Source organism: Homo sapiens, chromosome 17 (assembly GCF_000001405.40).
Source record: "Homo sapiens chromosome 17, GRCh38.p14 Primary Assembly".
In the NCBI taxonomy this organism is placed as follows: Eukaryota; Metazoa; Chordata; class Mammalia; order Primates; family Hominidae; genus Homo; species Homo sapiens.
This window is the reverse complement of record NC_000017.11, coordinates 81,258,685-81,276,978: the sequence shown is the minus strand read 5'-3', so window position 1 is coordinate 81,276,978 and position 18,294 is coordinate 81,258,685. Positions and strand designations below refer to the sequence as shown.

The 18,294-nt window shown below is 55.1% G+C and overlaps 1 protein-coding gene across 6 annotated transcripts in view; it reads left to right on the top strand.

Annotated features, from left to right (window-relative positions):
- SLC38A10 (solute carrier family 38 member 10) overlaps positions 1-18,294 on the top strand; it is a 50,497-nt gene that overhangs the window by 18,329 nt on the left and 13,874 nt on the right. For all 6 annotated transcript variants that reach the window (NM_001037984.3, XM_005257019.2, XM_011524289.2 and 3 more), the window contains 4 exons: positions 828-1,010; positions 4,352-4,463; positions 5,955-6,061; positions 16,585-16,741. In NM_001037984.3, coding sequence (NP_001033073.1) covers positions 828-1,010; positions 4,352-4,463; positions 5,955-6,061; positions 16,585-16,741 — 559 coding nt within the window. The remainder of the gene's footprint in view (positions 1-827; positions 1,011-4,351; positions 4,464-5,954; positions 6,062-16,584; positions 16,742-18,294) is intronic.

Sequence of the window (18,294 nt, the reverse complement as noted above, 5' to 3'; positions counted from 1 at the left end):
CCGTGGTGCCCCGTGGGACTGCCACAGGCATGGCCCTGGCCCTGTGTGCTGCTGGGTTTTTCTCTCTGTTCCCATCCCAGTGTCTGGAGGCTGCGCGGGGACCTGGGGCAGCTCCATCAGCTTCCATCATTCCAGGACCAGCCCTGTGAGCCTGGGTCCACCCTGGGCCAGGAAGCTCTCCTGACCTGAGGAGCTGGGCACCAGGGCTGCTCCCAGAACCCTTTATCCGAGCCACTCTTACTCTCTCTCCAAGACCTCTGTTAATTCTCTGTAGAAATGGGCATGTTCCGGCCGGGCGCCGTTGCTCACACCTGTAATCCCAGCACTTTGGGAGACCGAGGTGGGCAGATCATGAGGTCAGGAGTTCAAGACCAGCCTGGCCAACATGGTGAAACCCTGTCTCTACTAAAAATACAAAAATTAGCTGGGCATGGTGGCACGTGCATGTAAACCCGGCTACTCGGGAGGCTGAGGCAGGAGAATTGCTTGAACCAGGACCGGGGAGGCAGAGGTACGCCGAGGCCAAGATCGCACCACTGCACTCCAGCCTGGTCTACAGAGGGAGACCCCGTCTCAAAAAAAAAAAAAAAGAAAGAAAAAGAAAGAAATGGGCATGTTCTTACAGAAACTAGAGATTTTTAGAAGGAGGAGGCGAAATGGTGCCTTGCCCCTGGAAGGCCATCTCTTGCAGAAGCTTCATTATGAAGTGGATTGAAGGCCATTCTGGGGGGCAGGGCACAGGTCCCCCCCATGCCCTGCCCACTGTGACAGGTGCCACTCGGCTAGGATGTCTGTCTGCCACGTTGCCATTTCTTATTCTCCAACAGGTGGGGTTTTTCGGCTACGTCAGCTTCACCGAGGCCACGGCCGGCAACGTGCTCATGCACTTTCCCTCCAACCTGGTGACGGAGATGCTCCGTGTGGGCTTCATGATGTCAGTGGCTGTGGGCTTCCCCATGATGATCCTGCCATGCAGGCAGGCCCTGAGCACGCTGCTGTGTGAGCAGCAGGTAAGACCCTCGGGGCACTCTCCGGATCGTAATAGCACAGGTCAGGCTCGCTTCCCATAAGCCCCCAGCTGTCCCGAACCAGAGATATAGCAGGAAAGTGGGGATTTGCGTCAGAGGAGTCCCGGGAGGGCGGAAGTTGGGGGAGCCTAGAGGAACCAGATTGATGGGCAGGAGCTGATAATGGCCAGAGTCTGGAGATGGGCACATGGCGTTCACTGCACAGTTCTCTTTTTTTTTGAGACGGAGTTTCGCTCTGTCGCCCAGGCTGGAGTGCAGTGGCGCGATCTCGACTCACTGCAAGCTCCGCCTCCCGGGTTCACGCCATTCTCCTGCCTCAGCCTCCCGTGTAGCTGGGACTACAGGCGCGCGCCACCATGCCCGGCTAATTTTTGTATTTTTAGTAGAGATGGGGTTTCACCGTGTTAGCCAGGATGGTCTCGATCTCCTGACCTCGTGATCCGCCCGTCTCGGCCTCCCAAAGTGCTGGGATTACAGGCGTGAGCCACCGCGCCCGGCCCACTGCACAGTTCTCTTGACTTTTGTGTAACTTTGAAAAATTTTAACAATATAGCAGATTTTTGAACCATAAGAGAGGCTGAGTTTGATGTAGGCCATATTGGTGGTGCCTGTGGTCCCAGCTCCTCAGGAGGCTGAGGCGAGGTTGTGTGAGTCCAGGAGGTTGAGGCTGAGTGTGAATGCATCACTACACTCCAGCTGGGGCAACAGAGCAAGACCCTGTCTTTAAACACATTTTAAAAATAGGCTGGATATGGTGGCTCACACCTGTAATCCCAGCACTTTGGGAGGGCGAGGTGGGAGGATTGCTTAAGCCCAGGAGTTTGAAACTAGCCTGGGCAACATCACTTGACTCCATCTTTACAAAAAATTAACAAAAATTAGCCACGCATGGCAGCGCATGCCTGTAGTCCTAGTGACTCGGGAGGCTGAGGCAGGAGGATCACTTGAACCAAGAGTTCAAGGCTGCAGTGGGCCATGACCGCTCCACCATACTCCAGCCTGGGCTACAAAGTGAGACCCTGTGTCTAAAAGAGAAAGAAAAATAAAAAGTGAGGCTGGGTTTTTTCACTGTAACACATGTAGGCCAGGCAGCTACTTAGTTCTTTCTAAGAAACTTTCAGCTGTAGGAGTTGAAACCAGAGGGCTGTCCTGGTTCTCTCCTTGTGGCAGAGTGAACCATGAAAGGCCCGCTGCGCTGTCTTTCGCCCCGAGCGTGGGGCTGTCCTGGTTCTCTCCTTGCGGCAGAGTGAACCATGAAAGGCCCGCTGTGCTGTCTTGCGCTCCGAGCATGGGGGTGCAGACGCCACTCTGCAGTGCTGGAGGAGCCCTGCCCCGTCCAGGTTCCCCTCCTGCCTCCCCTTGGGAGCTCTGCCCGGTGGCCCATCCATCTTCTGTCCCGCAGCCTGAGATCTGTGAGCCTGGTATGTCCCTTCAGCTGGAACTCCTGGTGGCTAGAGGCACACGTTCCTCTTGAACTGTTTCAGCCAAGGCGGGTTGAGTGGTCTCAGAGAATCCAGGGGAGAGTCCAGCAGCCACATTGGGGGCGGTGGGTCTCCCTGGGCCTTGGGAACGATAGCATTGGCTCACTGTCCATGTGGCCAGGTGTGCGGTCACCACAGCCTCCTGCAGACTTCCACCAGCCACGTGCCTCTGGCTTCGCAGCAGAGGCCAAGCACCAAAGACTGGGTGCCTCCCCCACGTGCTGGTGCTCCTCTCTTCTGCGGAGTTCAGGCACCTGGGCACGGGTGAGGCAGGATCGAGGAGGCAAGGCCAGAGCCCGTCATATGGCCGTGGGGTCCCTCCGCGCATCTGGCCAGGCCAACTTTCAGTGTTTGATGTTTTGTACCTGAGCAGCATCTGTATTTCTGTACGTGACCCATTTTTATCTTGTTAAAAAATTGACAATGGCGTTAAATGTATTGTGACTCAAGTAGGAAAGCTTACGCAACCCCCTTCATCCCAAGGTGGACCTGGCTGTTTCCTCCGTCAGCGCCCGTGGCTGCTCCTTTCCCGGAGGTGCGGCTGCGGCCATGCCACCTGCTTTCTTGTCTTCGGCCCATGTGCCGTGAGCGTTTCTCCACGGTCCCTACAAGCCTGCAGGGGCTCTGCTTCCTTGCTTCTCCACCTGTTGCGGGGGCCTGGGTGCACTGCTCCTTCACCCTTGACCTCTCGTGGCTAACCATCTCACGACAGTCTTCGTGCTAAAGTCCCCTCTCCCCTTCTCTGGGTCTATGTCATAGGTAAAGTTCTAGGACCGGGACTCTTGTGTGATGGACCTAACCCCCCACCTCCATGGCCTGTATACAAATTACCGCCCTGAGGCCGATAGGAACTTCTGGCTCCGTCTTCCACAGTCCATCCTATGTAAAAGTCCATTCTGAAAATGGCATGCTTCAAAACTAGTTCTAGAAAGTTCTGCAGTTGTTTCCTAGCCCAGGGAGAGTCATCACGGCCAGTCCGTCCTGTGTGTTAACTTATTTGGTCCTTACCACGGCTGGATGAGGAGATGCTTCTGTTGACAGATGAGGAAACTGAGGCACCGAGAAGTCACTTGCCTAGGGACACACAGGTGGGGCTGGTGAGTGGCAGAGCAAGGATTTGAGCCAGGTGGTCTGGCTCCTGTGTCCTGTACTAGAGACCACAGCTGGGGGTCCTGGGGCAGGTGGCGTCTGAGGCCATCCGTCCTTGGCTCTGCCGCCTCCTCCGGAATGAATGGCCCTGGCATCCCGGTGCAGATCAGTAGAGTCCTGGCTGCACACTGGGGCCAAAACAGGCACTTGAAATTAGGGCCTCATCGTGCCCTTCTCTCTTCTTCTTCCTGGACTTTGAAATTGCTCACTGCTTGTTGCACATCTGCTGGAGATAACACGGCCATGTGTGCGTGTGTTTGGGGGGGTTCTGCCTGCACCCTGAAACCTGTGGGCCAGGAGAGTCCTGGGGCATTTGTCAGGAGCGGCGCTGTGCAGCCTGTGTTTTGCTCTCCATACTTCCTGGCACTTAAAAAACTCTCGTGGTATTGCTCTAAAAGCAAAAAGGAAAACGGAAGGACTCGATACTCACATTTCAAAAGGAAGTTGTAAAATGTACGGTCTGTGCCTGGGGTGAGAAGCCCTCGTGCCTTCCTGGCATGCTGCAGGTTCCCGTTTAAGTTGCTCAGCCAGATCTGATTGTGCTGGTCAGGCTCACCTGCCAGGTGAGTGCGCGGCCGGCCTCACGTGGAGATGTGCCTGGTGTGCCTGGCAGAGCCCTTTCAGGCTTTGCTTTCTAGGAGAGTGGTGGAGGAAATCAGTCATTTCAAAACCTTTTGTTTTTCTTTTGTACAGCAAAAAGATGGCACCTTTGCAGCAGGGGGCTACATGCCCCCTCTCCGGTTTAAAGCACTTACCCTCTCTGTGGTGTTTGGAACCATGGTTGGTGGCATCCTTATCCCCAACGGTAAGGCGGGAGGGCTGCCCTGTTGCCGGGGAGTGGGACCCGGGGCTTCGGCATCAACCAAGACCTGCACAGTTACGAGACCTGCACAGAGACCATCTTCTCTGGTCTCTTAAAAAAGTCTAGAGACTTTGTCAGTTTTTCTCTGGCCCACAGAGAAAGGCAGGGGATAAAATCTGGCAACTTGAGCCAGGTGCGGTGGCTCACACCTGTAATCCCAGCACTTTGGGAGGTTGAGGTGGGTGGATCACCTGAGGTTGGGAGTTCAAGACCAGCCTGACCAATGTGGAGAAACCCCGTCTCTACTAAAAATACAAAATTAGCAGGGCGTCATGGTGCATGCCTGTAATCCTAGCTACTTGGGAGGCTGAGGCAAAAGAATCACTTGAACCCGGGAGGAGGAGTTTGCAGTGAGCCAAGATTGCGCCATTGCACTCCAGGCTGGGCAACAAGAGAGAAACTTCGTCTCAAAAAAAAAAAAATCTGGCAGCTTGCTGGGCGCAGTGGCTCACGCCTGTAATCCCCGCAGTTTGGGAGGCCGAGGCGGGCGGATCACGAGGTCAGGAGATCGAAACCATCCTGGCTAACACGGTGAAACCCCGTCTCTACTAAAAATACAAAAAAATTAGCCGGGCGTGGTGGCGGGTGCCTGTAGTCCCAGCTACTTGGGAGGCTGAGGCAGGAGAATGGCGTGAACCTGGGAGGCGAAGCTTGCAGTGAGCTGAGATCGCTCCACTACACTCCAGCCAAAAAAAAAAAAAAAAAAAAAATCTGTCAGCTTGATGGAACAGCAGGCACCCATTGACACCTGGGCAGAGAGAGACTGCAGTGCCGGGACACAGGCTCAATTTGTAGAACCAACTATTCTAGAACAGCGCATGCTGTCCTGTTGATTCTTTTGACTTCTGATTTTGGTGATGCATTACCAAGGGAAGCGTTGAAGGCTCTGAACATATTTATGTTACCCAAATGCACCCACTCCCTAGCAGACAAGACAGAGCTCGTTGTCATCAGAGGATGACATCACAGGGGAACTCGCACGCACTCTCCCCAGGGAACAGCCCTAGAGGCGATCTGTCTGGGCTCCTGGCAGGGGCTGCAGCCTGGCAGCACCCGCCAGGCCCTGGCCTCTACACCTGCCCTAGGATAGGTCCTGCCTTCCTAGGGCCACTCATGGAGCAGCAGGCAGGAGAGGCGGCGCAGGAGCCGTGCCGTGCGCAGCCAGCATCTGGTTTCGGCAGGAGGTCCCTAGTGTCTGACTCTTTAAAGATGAACCATCAGAGAATTCACCCCGGGGCCTAAATGCACTGTTGGAGGAATCAGCCGCGGTTGTCAGGCTTTCTGGGCACAGAGGGCGTCTCTGCTCCCGGCTCACGCCTAGACGGCATTTCCTTCAATGCTGGCTTGCTCACCCGTGTGCAGGGCAAAAGCTCAGGTCCCCTCCTTCCCAGAGCCCTTCCCCACTCATCCCTTCCTGTCACTTCTCCATCCTAGTGGAGACCATCCTGGGCCTCACAGGAGCGACCATGGGAAGCCTCATCTGCTTCATCTGCCCGGCGCTGATCTACAAGAAAATCCACAAGAACGCACTTTCCTCCCAGGTGCGTGCTGCTCGTGGGGTGGCCTGGACGAGGGCTGATGGGTCTGGGCTGGGGAGAGGTGGAGGCGGGAGGAAGCCCCTGGTTCAGCGTTTTCAGATGGGTTCTATCAAGAAACTTAAAACCCACAAAAGGGACTTGGTCCAGTCAGCCTGGGGAACCCTGGGTTCACCAGGACGCACGGTCTTTGCCCAGCAGGGCCACACTAAGCTGCTCAAGCTGTGCATCGGGTTTTCCTGAGAGCCGACTTAGCTGAGTCGTAAGCGCTTTCCCCATGGTGTTTCTGCGATGCCTGATTGCCCATGGACCTGCTGCCACCTCTGAGTCCCCTCCCCAGCCGCCCACCCCTGAGGCCACCACCCACCGTTGTTCCTGGTGCGACCCTCCCACGGAGATGTGCGTGCTTGTGGGTTTTTCTTTAACTGTAACACAGCTTCCTGCTGCTTTTGCTCAAAACCCTGTGCAGGTCAGGTTGCTCCACAGCCGTGGGCACAGAGCTGCCTCGCTATTTTTAGCCGTTTCATGGGTTCCGTGGTAGGAAGATTCCATAATCCCAGTCTCCGAAGGACTCACCTCTCCAGTCTTGCTATTGCAGACAGAATCGCGATGAATATCTGTGTTCATGAGCATGTCGACGTATTTGAGCACGCGTCTGTAGGAAGCCTTCTAGAAATGGAATCCTGTGTCAGGGGTGTGAGCATCTGTAAATGTGGTGGCTCTACCCAAAGTGCCTGCAGCGTCACTCCCAGCCAGGCTCAAGGCCTCTGTCCCTGCACCCAGGACCTTCCAGGCTTCATCATTCTTGGCCTCTCTGGCGGGAACTTGAGTGTCTTTTCATGGGTTTAGAAGCCACTTGCGTTTCTTTTTCTGTGAACTGCTTGTGTTCTTTGCTCACTTTTTATGGAGTTGTTGAGCTTTTTCTTACTGGAATATATTGATAATTTTTTTTTTCTTTTGAGACAGAGTTTCACTCTTGTTGCCCAAGCTGGGGTGCAGTGGCGCAGTCTCGGCTTACTGCAACCTCCGCCTCCCAGGTTCAAGTGATTCTCCTGCCTCAGCCTCCTGAGTAGCCACCACGCCGGGCTAATTTTGTATTTTTAGTGAGACGGGGTTTCTCCGTGTTGGTCACGCTGGTCTTGAACTCTTGACCTCAGGTGATCCACCCGCCTCCACCTCCCAAAGTGCTGTGATTACAGGTGTGAGCCAATGCGCCCGGCCTCAACCTGATAAGTTTTTACAAAGTGAACCACGTGGAACCACCATCCAGAGCAGACATAGGACATCCCGGCACCCCAGAGCTCCCTATGGATGCCTCACTGACATCCACCCCCACCCCAAAGGTCCTCCGGCATTCTGGAATGATCTTGCCTTGTCTTCAAGTTGCGGTAAATAGATTCTTACAGTGTACATTAGAATACACGTCCACGTGTGTCAGCCACTTCTTCAGCATCTTGGCTCAGGTCCACTGCAACTTCTGCCTCCTGGGTTCAAGCAATTCTCCTGCCTCAGCCTCCTGAGTAGCTGGGATTCCAGGTGTGTGCCACCACACCCAGCTAATTTTTGTACTTTTAGTAGAGACAGGGTTTTACCATGTTGGTCAGGCTGGTCTCAAATCCTGACCTCAAATAATCCACCCGCCTCAGCCTCCCAAAGTGCTGGGATTATAGACGTGAGCCACTACACCCAGCCCCTTATGGATTTTTTAATCATCTTGTTTATGAGTTGTGAGAAAGGTATGATAATTCCTACTGTAACTGCAGATTTGTTTATTTTTCCTTTTAGTTCCATCACTTTTTGCTTTTTAGTTTGAAGCCATGTTATTAGGAGCAGACAGATTGAAGTTGGTTATATCTCCTTGTTGAATTGTCTTTTATCGTGTTAAATACTCCTTTTTATCATTGGAAATACTTTTCTCCTTAAAGTTGGCTTTGTAGCTAACTTAGTTCTGCTTTGGGTTTGTATTTGCACAGGATAGCTTGTTTCATCCCTTTTCTTTTGATTTCTCTAGTCCATTATATTCATGGTATGTCTCTTATAACAGCATGCAGTTGACTTTTGTCTTGTTCTTATTCAGTCTGTGAATGGGAGTATTTAAGACTATTTACAGTTAATATAATAACTGATTTTTGAGGGAAAACTTTCAACTTATGTCCTATTATTTGTCTCATATGTCCTTTTTCTGTTTTTGCTTTTACTTTCTTTGGATCAATCAAACATTTTAAATATTTACTCTTTTTTTGGCTTGTTGGTACATTTCTATTCTTCTAATGATTATACTAGGCAGTTGATATCAACCCTTATTTAAAACTCCACAAGACATTGTTATTGTTGTTTCAAATAGTAATTATTGAGCCAGGCATGGTGGCTCACTCCTGTAATCCCAGCACTTTGGGAGGCTGAGGCAGGAGAATCACTTGAACCCGGGAGGTGGAGGTTGCAGTGAGCCGAGATAGCACCACTGCACTCCAGCCTGGGCAACAGAGCAAAAGACTCCGTCTCAAAAAAAAAAGAAAAAAAAGAAGAAGAAAAAGAAAAAAGTATTGATATTGATTCTTTGTGGCTTCTTGTTTTTTTGTCCTGGGGTCTTGTTTTCTAGTGTGCCTGGTATTTTGCAGATGTTGTGTTTGAGAAATCGTAGAAGTTCTGGGTGACATTGTCATTCATCCATCATACAGGGGATAGGCAGAAGGCCTGTGTCCCATTGAGGCAAATGTGTTTTCAGTTGGCCTTGTTCCTAGGGTACAGCCCTTCTGGGGTCTCAGCTGGGCAGTGACACCCTCAAATGGTGAATCTTCTGCTTGGCGTTCATCTTCTGCTTGGCGTTCATCATCTTGCTGGCTCCTCTCTGCATAGCTGATAGCTGGCAAGTGCTTTGGGGGAGATTTTTGCACACAGAATGTGGAGTGGCGTCCTTCTCCGAGGTTTCCTTCTCTCCCTCGAGCTCTGGCTGCTGGAGCGCCCTCATTCTTGCTTCTCGGTGCCCAGCCCTGTGAGTGTGCCCAGGCTCTAGGCTGTTGTGCTCTCTTGTCTTGTCTGCTTAGTCCCAATGATCGATGAGTCTCCAAGGGCAACAGGCTTGACCTCTCTGTGACTAAGGGCTTTTCTCTGTCCTCTGGGATCTGGACCTCTCAAGTCTGAGCTGACAGAGCTGTTTACCAGTGTCTTTGGTTGGGTGTTTTTATTGTTTTTATTCAGCTTTTACCATTGTTTTAAATAGGAAGACCAGTTTGATACCAGCTATTATGCCATAGCTTGATGAGGAAGTTTCTTGGTGAGTTTTAGGAGCTTAAGATAGCATGAGAGCCTCAGCCTCTGCTCATCAGATGGCACATGTCCTGCTATGCCAGGTCCCATGTTTTAGTCCATTGGGCTTCCTTAGAAAAAACATCTGTTCTGTGAGTTAGCAGGAGAAAGAAGGAAAGAAAGAAGGGAGGGAGGGAGGAAGGAAGGAAGGAAAGAAAGAGTCATAGTTAGAATTTCCACACTCCAGTACTATTTTAAAAGAAGAAGGAGGGGGAGGGCCATAGTTAGAATTTCCCCACTCCAGTATTATTTTAAAATAATTCCTCCCTCATTTTTTTAGTACTTTAATGACTTCATTTTTTTAATTTAAATCTTTGATCTACCTGTATTTTATTTTGGTGTAAGAAACAAAGTATGTATCCTCAGTTTATTTCTAGATGGTTCCCTAGTCGTCAGACATGATTTATTGAATAATCCATCACTGATGGGAAATGTTAGTGCTATTGTAGATTAAATTCTTATATGTATTCGGGCCTAACTTGGGACCTGTGTTTTACTTTATTGGCTGGTCTGCCCTTCCGTACTGTGTTAGTTGCATGTTAGTTGCATGTTAGTTGCGTGTTAGTTGCCACACCCTGGTAACACTCACGGAGTTGTGACTTGTTGCTCTTGGAACACTTTAATTCTCATCTCGCCTCTTGGCTGTTAATAATACATTTTCTGCATAGTCTTTGTTTTATTTTCTGTATGAATGTTGGAATCAGCCCATCTGACTCTAACAAAAAATTAGTCCTGCTTTTTATTTTTTGGTCTAACTGGGCTTATTGAAACTATAGATTAACTTGGGAATTGCCGTCTTTACACTGTAGCTGATGTGCAGATGTCCTTGCGAACTCTCCTGCTCAGCAGGAAGGCACTGCATTTGGTTTATCCAGACCTCACTGTAGGTCCTTCGTTCCCATCTGTTTCCCAGGTGGCTGTTGGCTGCACTGCATGCTATCCTGGGATCTCTTTTCCCGCTGGATTTTCTTTTTTTTTCTTTTTCTTTTTTTTTTTTTTGAGATGGAGTCTCACTCTGTCGCCCAGGCTGGAGTGCAGTGGCACGATCTCTGCTCACTGCAAGCCCCTCCTCCTGGGTTCACGCCATTCTCCTGCCTCAGTCTCTTGAATAGCTGGGACTACAGGTGCCTGCAACCATGCCCGGCTAATTTTTTGTATTTTTAGTAGAGACGGGGTTTCACTATGTTAGCCAGGATGGTCTCGATCTCCTGACCTCATGATCCGCCCGCCTCGGCCTCCCAAAGTGCTGGGATTACAGGCGTGAGCCACCGCGTCCGGCCCTCCCCCTGGATTTTCTAAGTGGCTGTTTGTGTAAAGGGAAGTTAGAGATTTCATAGGTGACATTTTCGCCCGTTCACCTTACTGTACTCCTGCTGGATCTCTTGGCTTTTCACCTGCAGCTAATGATGATGTCGCCTCCCTCTTTCCAATTGCTGCAGCGCTTCCTCCTCTCTTGCCCGTGTGTGGCGTCACACACCTGTGGCCACGGCGCTGCTGGTGTGAGTGGCTGGCGCGTCACTGACTCTGGGATGGCTTCTAGTGTTTACCCGTTAGCCCAGTGTCGGCTTTTGACTTGGTGTGTAGACATGTGTAGACACACACAGAATTGGGTGAAAGAAGCATCTCTCTGTGCCTGCTTTGCCATGTCTTTTGGAAGCTAGAAAGCGCACTGAATCACATTCACCGCAGTTTGGCTGTGCGTGGAGGAGACGGAGAGGTTTCTTTTTCCCTCTGACTTGGGTCTGGTGCGTCCTGTCCCCAGCGCTCCTACGGCTCCGCAGTAGGTCGTGGGGCCAGCGGACCACCGTGTGCCATCCGCTCAGCATGCCCTGTTTCCTTAGGTACGGAGATGTCAGCACCGCAAGGCCGTACCCTGGGCCTGTGGCGCCACATCTCGGCGTGGCCACTGTCCCAGGGGCTCCGGCTGCGCCCACGGAGGGGCACAGGCCTGGATCTGTGCCTTGGCCTGTCTGAGTACTCTCAGCGATATGGTGCCTGTACCCAGCCCAGGGACCTCAGGAAGAGCCACAACTGGTGATATGCTGGGGTGGACAGGGAAGTGGGGACACCTGTGTAGTAGGTGAATCAAGGCTGTGCTGGAGAAAGACGTGAAAAAGAAGGAATGTTCCAGCTCGTCCTCAGAAGATCAACCAGGGGACAGGAAAATAGGTCGGCCCTGAGGGAATCGAAAAGATACATTTGCCACCAAGTGTTTTGTTCTTTTTTTATTTTTTGAGACAGAGTCTCGCTCTGTCGCCCAGGCTGGGGTGCAGTGGTGTGATCTCAGCTCACTGCAAGCTCCGCCTCCTGGGTTCAAGTGATTGTCCAGCCTCAGCCTCCCGAGTAGCTGGGATTACAGGCGTGCGCCACCACACCTGGCTAATTTTTTGTATTTTTGGTAGAGACACGGTTTCACCATGTTGGCCAGGCTGGTCTTGAACACTCCTGACCTCAGGTGATCCACTCGCCTTGGCCTCCCAAAGTGCTGGGATTATAGGTGTGAGCCACCACGCCCGCCCTGTTTGGTTCTTTATTTTGAAAGTCAGAAAGTTGAGGGTCTCTCCAGTCCTGAGTGAGGCTGGGGCTTTGGTCCTGCTGCCCTGGAACCATGAGGGAGTGTAGCAGCAGGTGGCTTAGAAGGTGCCTGAGGGCCACTCAGAGGACAGATCCCTGGGGCGCGGGAGGCTGCCTCACGGGTGCGCCCAGAGGGCAGCAGTCCCTGAAAGGCCTGAAAGCTGGCCCCTGCTCTTGGAAGATGCAGTGAAATGCACACTGCGACTCTCAGACACGAGCCACCAGCGGGGCATCTGCTTGTAACCAGAGAGGACCCCCAAGGCCTGCTGAGGCTCGGGGCCTTGCTGGGTGGTGCCTGGATGCCAGCTGGGCTGCCCTGAGACCCAAATCGAGGCGCGTGGTGCAGAGCAGCCAGAGCCCCCACCTCCAGCTGTGCTTTTTATGGCTGAAGTGCAGAGCGTGGACTTGTGCACTTTCTACATGTGTGGAGTGAAAGTGAGTGTTTTCTCCCCTGCCCCTGGTGCTTCTCTCTGCATTTGAGTCAGCGACGCCTTGTGTGTCTGGAGGCCCTGATCACTTCTCCGGGGGAGGGTGCTACGATCCGGGCAGTGCGCGGCCCCTGGTCAGGCCCCTGGATTTTCCAAGCTCAGGTGAGACGTCTGGAGTGGGCTTGCATTCCTCCTGCTGGCCGGTTCTGCGGCTGTATTGATCTGATAACTGCCGAAATGAAAGTCACGGGGTGCTCTGAAACCAGGTGTCTGGCACGCTGGTCCGTTGAATGACCGCGTCCTCAAAGGAAGTTCTTAGGCTGTGCAGGAAGCTGTGCTGGAAGTACAGGGCTGGAGGCTGGGCTGGGGCTCCGTGGGCTTCCCCCGCCACTGAGGCTGGGCAGCCGCTGTGCTCCCCACAGGCCCCCCAAGTTCCCGGCCATCCCGTCTGTGCAGAACTCCACTTACGCCCTTATTCGGGATTCCGAGGGAACTACTGACCGTTCCCTTGTCTATGTCACACGTCCCGTGGTTGGATTCCCACACTCCAGTGGCAGGACAAGCACGGGGGAGCCTGGCACCCACCCTGTCCTCGGGGACTGCGGCGTCCACTCCGTGGTGTCTGTGGCCCAGTCCCCGGCAGAGTTCTCACAGCTGCCTTGGGGACTTCAGTGAATGCTGTGCTGCTTCCACATGCCCAGTGCCCGCTGCTGCTGCTGGGTCCGTGTTCCCGCCCTGGCTCTGGCACAGAAGTGAAAGGTGCTCACACACACTCCTGGCACGTGGCAGCCACAGACTGGGATTTGGTCACTGCATGCGCTGCCCCCTCATGGATGAGGCATGGACCCAAGGCGCTATCACAAGTGCCCATGCGGCCTCCTCGTTCCCACGGGTCCCCTCAAGCTGGGCAGTGCTGGTGTCTCTGCCAGGGTGTGTCTTAAAGGAAAGCCTGGGCATGTGGACTGTGGCATTGTCGGCCGGGCCAGCGGCTGCTTGTGCTCAAGGCAGTGGTCACCGGCAAGTGCCCCGCAGAGCCTGACAGCCTGAAAGTCAGCGAGCCAGGACGAGGGGTCTCAGCAAAGAGGGGATGGAGCCTTCCAGCCGGCAGGGGTGCGCCCGGGGCGTCACCATCTCAGTGTTCAGGGCTACTCTGCTGCCCTCACGCCGGGGGCTTGTCCCGAGTGGCGTTTCGCCGGCAGTAATGTGCTGTCTGGTGCATTGTGGGGGCCCAGGGATGGCTCTCCTGATGGGGACGCCTTGGGGTAGGAGGTGGCAGCAGGTGTGTACGTGGCAGCGGGCGGGGTTGGGTCTGCTTCCTGGACCCGCGTGTCTGGAATTGTCCCGCCCTTGTCCCAGCCCAAAGATTCCATGCAGGCTCCCTGTGTACGGTGACCTCAAGCCTCCACTTCTCCACAGTGTGTTTCGAGATGTTCTTGGACTTGGGGCTGAGTTCGGTCCCCAGGTACTGCCCTGGGAGGTGGCAGGTGGTGGGGGTCCCTGTGCAGCCGTTCGGGAGCCCCCCTCCCCTGCCGATCAGCTTCGCACTCAGGGCGCTCTGCAGGGCCTCGGTCGAGCGTGTTCTCCTCCCTGCGCTTGTGTCCTTTCCAAGGCTCGTCGGTCCTGGGTCTTCCTGGAAAGCTTGCTGTCTCCCAGCATGGAGTGAGTTCATGGTTTTGATTTTGCATGTGATTTTTAAGCTCAGAAAGTTGGGGGTTGAAATAAATCATTATAGTCATGGAGATGTTTCTTTGGCCCATCAGTCTCCATGGATGTTTTAGATGAGGTCCCCGTTAAAAATAACCTGACATAAAATGACCAACCAATGTCTTTATCTTTGGGTCTAAAGCGTTTGAGGCCTGGAGGGGCCGGGTCTTGCTGTGCTCCCTGGCGGATGGCAAACTCTGGGCTCCTGGGATTCCCACCTGGGGAGTCTCCTGTCCTGACCAGCCGGTGGCAAAGGTGCTTTCCCTTCCCATTTAGGTACTCTCACCAAGATCCCGTAATTAGCGTGTTGGTGTTATGGGAAGTCCAAGTAGGGAGATAAATTTTTTTTTGTAGCTTCTCTGCAAGGTCATTTCTGTCCACCCTCAGCTGGAGAAATGTGAGATGCACTTAGCACACGCCCAGTTAGAGAAATCCACCCGGGACGAGGCGAGGGTATGCTGCCTTGCGGGGCAGGATTCCCACACTGAGAGGAGCTTCCCAGGGCTTCCAGACAACACAGTCTCCTGTCCAGGCAGCTTCCTGGTGGGTCGGGTTGAATTTCCATCCGGACCCTTTACCCCAGGTAGCCCGAGCCTGGTCTCTGCCCTGTGCTGGCTGGCAGAGGCCTCGATGGGAGGGCAGGGCCTTGAAGATGGAGGTCCCGGGGCAGCTCTGGCGTAGGAGGGGTCACAAGGGCTGTAAGAGGCAAGGCCTTTCCTTCCGGCCTCAGGCCTCTAAGCCACGGCCATCCACACCACCCACTGACTGGGCGGGCCGTTCCACACCTGCTCCCTACACAGATCGGGCAGCCTCGCGAGAGTTCCGGTTTCTTCCTCTTTTTATTATCTTAAGACTGCTTTGGTCACCTTCCAGACACCACCACTGCCCTGGGACTCTTCCCTTCACTGCAAGGAAGATGTAACATGGCTGAAGGGGCATCTACAAATGGAGGAGAACATTCGGGGCCAGGGCGGGGCAGAGCTCTGTGGGCCGTCGAGCCTGCAGGCCCCGTCCGGACCTCCGGAACGTACATCAGACAGTGTCCCCGTGTGCACCTGGGGCAGGCCTGCCGTCACCGCTTGCTCCGGCCAGCTGTGGTTACTGCCAGAGGGGCTTTGGGCTCCCTGGGCATCCTACAAGCCCCGAGGCACATTGCGGCCGGGCTCCCTTCGGCGGAGCCCACTGACCCCAGAGCCTCAGCAGCACCTGGCGTCCGGAGATGCCGACACCAGCCCAATGTTTCCGGGTGGCAGAGAAGGAAGTAGAGGAAGCGGGCTCTCCACTAGGTTGTCTTTTTCAGCTGCCACCAGCTTCGGAGAGCACGAGTCCTTCCCTCTGGGGAGACCTCTTCTCTAATTGTATTGGACCAGGGAGGTCTCACCAGTTCTTCTGAACTGATTTTCTTTAAGAATCGACATACCTTTCAGAAAAGGATTTTGAGTTCTGGCTCTGAGACCACAGAGGGAATGGCACAGCCCCTTGGCTCTACAGAAGTCCGCCTTGCCAGTGCACACAGGCTCTGCCCAACCGGGAGTTAGCGCTTCCCTGGGGAGAGCAGCTTGTGCTGGGCCAGGCCAGGCAGAAACCAGCACCCGCTGCCGTGGCCCCGTGAATGACTGGGGAGGAGTGGGCCCAGTGTGTTCGCTAACATAGCAGGGGTGGCAGGAGCCGGGGTGGCGGGAGCCGGGGTGGCAGGAGCCGGGCCAAGCAGTGTACAGTTTGTCAGAGTCACCGAGGCGGCACGTGTGATGCTTACGATTGGCCGGGGAGCGGGGGAAGGAGGGAGGACTAGGTCACACAGGGAGAGCCTTCGGCAAAGAGTGCCTGGAGGTCAGCTCACAGGGTGACCCCAGTGGGCACCACACCACAGCTAAGGAGAGGCGAAGGCCATTTCTGTCCCCCGTGCCCATGCATGGTGCCAGCTGTGATGACTTTGGGGCAAGCCCTTCATGCGCACGGGCCTGCGTCTGCTGCACGGGGCCAGCCTTGCGGGTTGTGCAGGAGCACTCGCTTTGCGGACAGCATGGACGGGGACGCTCAAGTCTGCCTGGAGGTTCCTGTTCCTCTCCCAGGCAGGTTGGGCAGTGCTCAGCCTCTGCTCCCCTAAGGCTCGTCACGTACCTTCAGCTTCTGGAAGCCGCTGTCCCTCCCGCTCCGTCCTGAATGGCTGGCATAGCTCTGACAGGATTGGCCCATGACCCCAGCTGGCATGGAGGGCACGTCAGCCACAGGCTGGATGCCAGGAGTCCTGCCATGCTCTGGCAGCGGCGCATCAGGGCTCAGCCCTCTCCCAGTGGTCGGGAGCTTCGCGGGCAGGTGGGCCCGTCTCCCTGGGAGTGGACACCTGTCCTCAGGCAGGGCCGACTGCACGCCTGTCCCGTCCTCGGGGGACTTTGTCATGTCCACTCTCCTCGTGCCTCACCCCGTCCCTGAGCCTCTCTGCCAGGCCAGTTTTATACCCTGGGCAGGGGCGGGGGCCAGCTGTGACTCCCGCCCCTGGGGTCTTTGTCTCCTCAGGTGGTGCTGTGGGTCGGCCTGGGCGTCCTGGTGGTGAGCACTGTCACCACACTGTCTGTGAGCGAGGAGGTCCCCGAGGACTTGGCAGAGGAAGCCCCTGGCGGCCGGCTTGGAGAGGCCGAGGGTTTGATGAAGGTGGAGGCAGCGCGGCTCTCAGGTATGCCCACCCTGGCTCTCTGAGCCTTCTCAGGGCAAGTGCCCACTGGGTGTCTCCTGGGTCTGGTCCGAGGATTGTGCTTACCTGCTCAGTGGCCTCTGTCCTGTGTGGGTGCAGCCAGCAGGGTGGGGCCACCAGCCTCCCCTGTGAACATGCTCTGTGCACCATGGCTGGCTGTGGCATGGCTGCCTGTGTGCAGGGAACATGGGACAGGAGTGGCCACCTGTATGCAGGGAACATGGGACAGGAGTGGCCGCTGGCCTGGATGCCTGCCACTCGGTGGGCTAGGTGGGGTGTACGTTTCTGAGTGTTGCTCACGTGCTGTTATTCATTTGAGGATGTAAGTTTCTCCAGTTTTCTCCTGGACAGGGTCGGCGATCAGGCCTCAGTTTGGTTTGCTGCTTCAGGTTATTTATTATTTGTTCACCAGGACCGTGGGTGGAGTTAGGACCATGAGCCCTCAGGCAGCTAGCTGCAGGCCGCTTCAGGAGGGGCCCCGTGGCGCCCTGTAACCTCGACCCTCCGTCTGTGGCAGAGTCCCGGCCGCAGCGCCCCATAACCCTGACGCCTCCGTCTGTGGCACAGCCCGGGGTGCAGAGATGCGTGTTTCCTGAGTGTGGCTTTCCAGGTGCAGCCGCAGCTCCGTGGCCTGGGTGGCTACTGCCTCCCTGACCCTCCCAGGCCTAGAGAGGGAGTGCCACACAAGGCGGCCCTGCAGGCAGCAGACCTCCCCAGGCCAGCCCTCCCACGAGCTCTGAGTGGCACCAGGCAGGGATGGGCAGGTAGGTGCTGTCCACGATGACCTTCACGCTGGGGTCTTCTGCCTCTGACGACAGCTGGGTTTATGCATCCACACTGCCCGTGTGCCGACCATATCCAACACACCCCTCTGCAGAGGCCCCGGCTCAGTCAGATTCGCTGGGCGTCATCTGCCCACCACCCGAGGAGCCCCAGTGAGCAGTGCCGGCTCTGGCTGGGGGTCTCAGGCGGCTATGGAGGTGCTGGCCAGTGACTTCCGCCTCCAGGAGGGGCCTCCACTTCTGTAACAGACAGGAGGAGAGGTCCGTTGAAGGGAGCCCCTGGCGTCGGCTGAGTGCGTGGGGACGCCATCTCAGCCGTGACCCTGGGGCTTGTTGTCATCTCTGTTCTGAGCTCCGCACTCCTGTGCCTGGAAAGCTCCTTCCCAGCGTTGTCACCTCATACAAACTGCCCCGAGGGACACTCTCCGAGGGTCTTCCTGGATCCGCTGTGCTCATATTTGCCAAGGATGACTGTTCCCGGATGGCGAAGGTGGGCAGGGGAGCCCTGCCTTCTGGGTTCCGTGCAGCTGGCGGGGCTGTGCTTGGGGACAGTAGGGGTCACCAGAGAAGGAAACTGGGAGTGTTCCGAAGCAGCCGGTGGAGCTGCCTTGCGTTGGATTTGGTAATTCGGACTGGAAAAACGTCCACCTGGAGAGGGAGGTGGGTGTTTTGCTCCCACCTCAGCTGGTGCCCCAGGCTCGGTCCTGCCTGAGCAGGGCCACTTACTGCTGTCCAGGCCTCTGGGCTAGACTG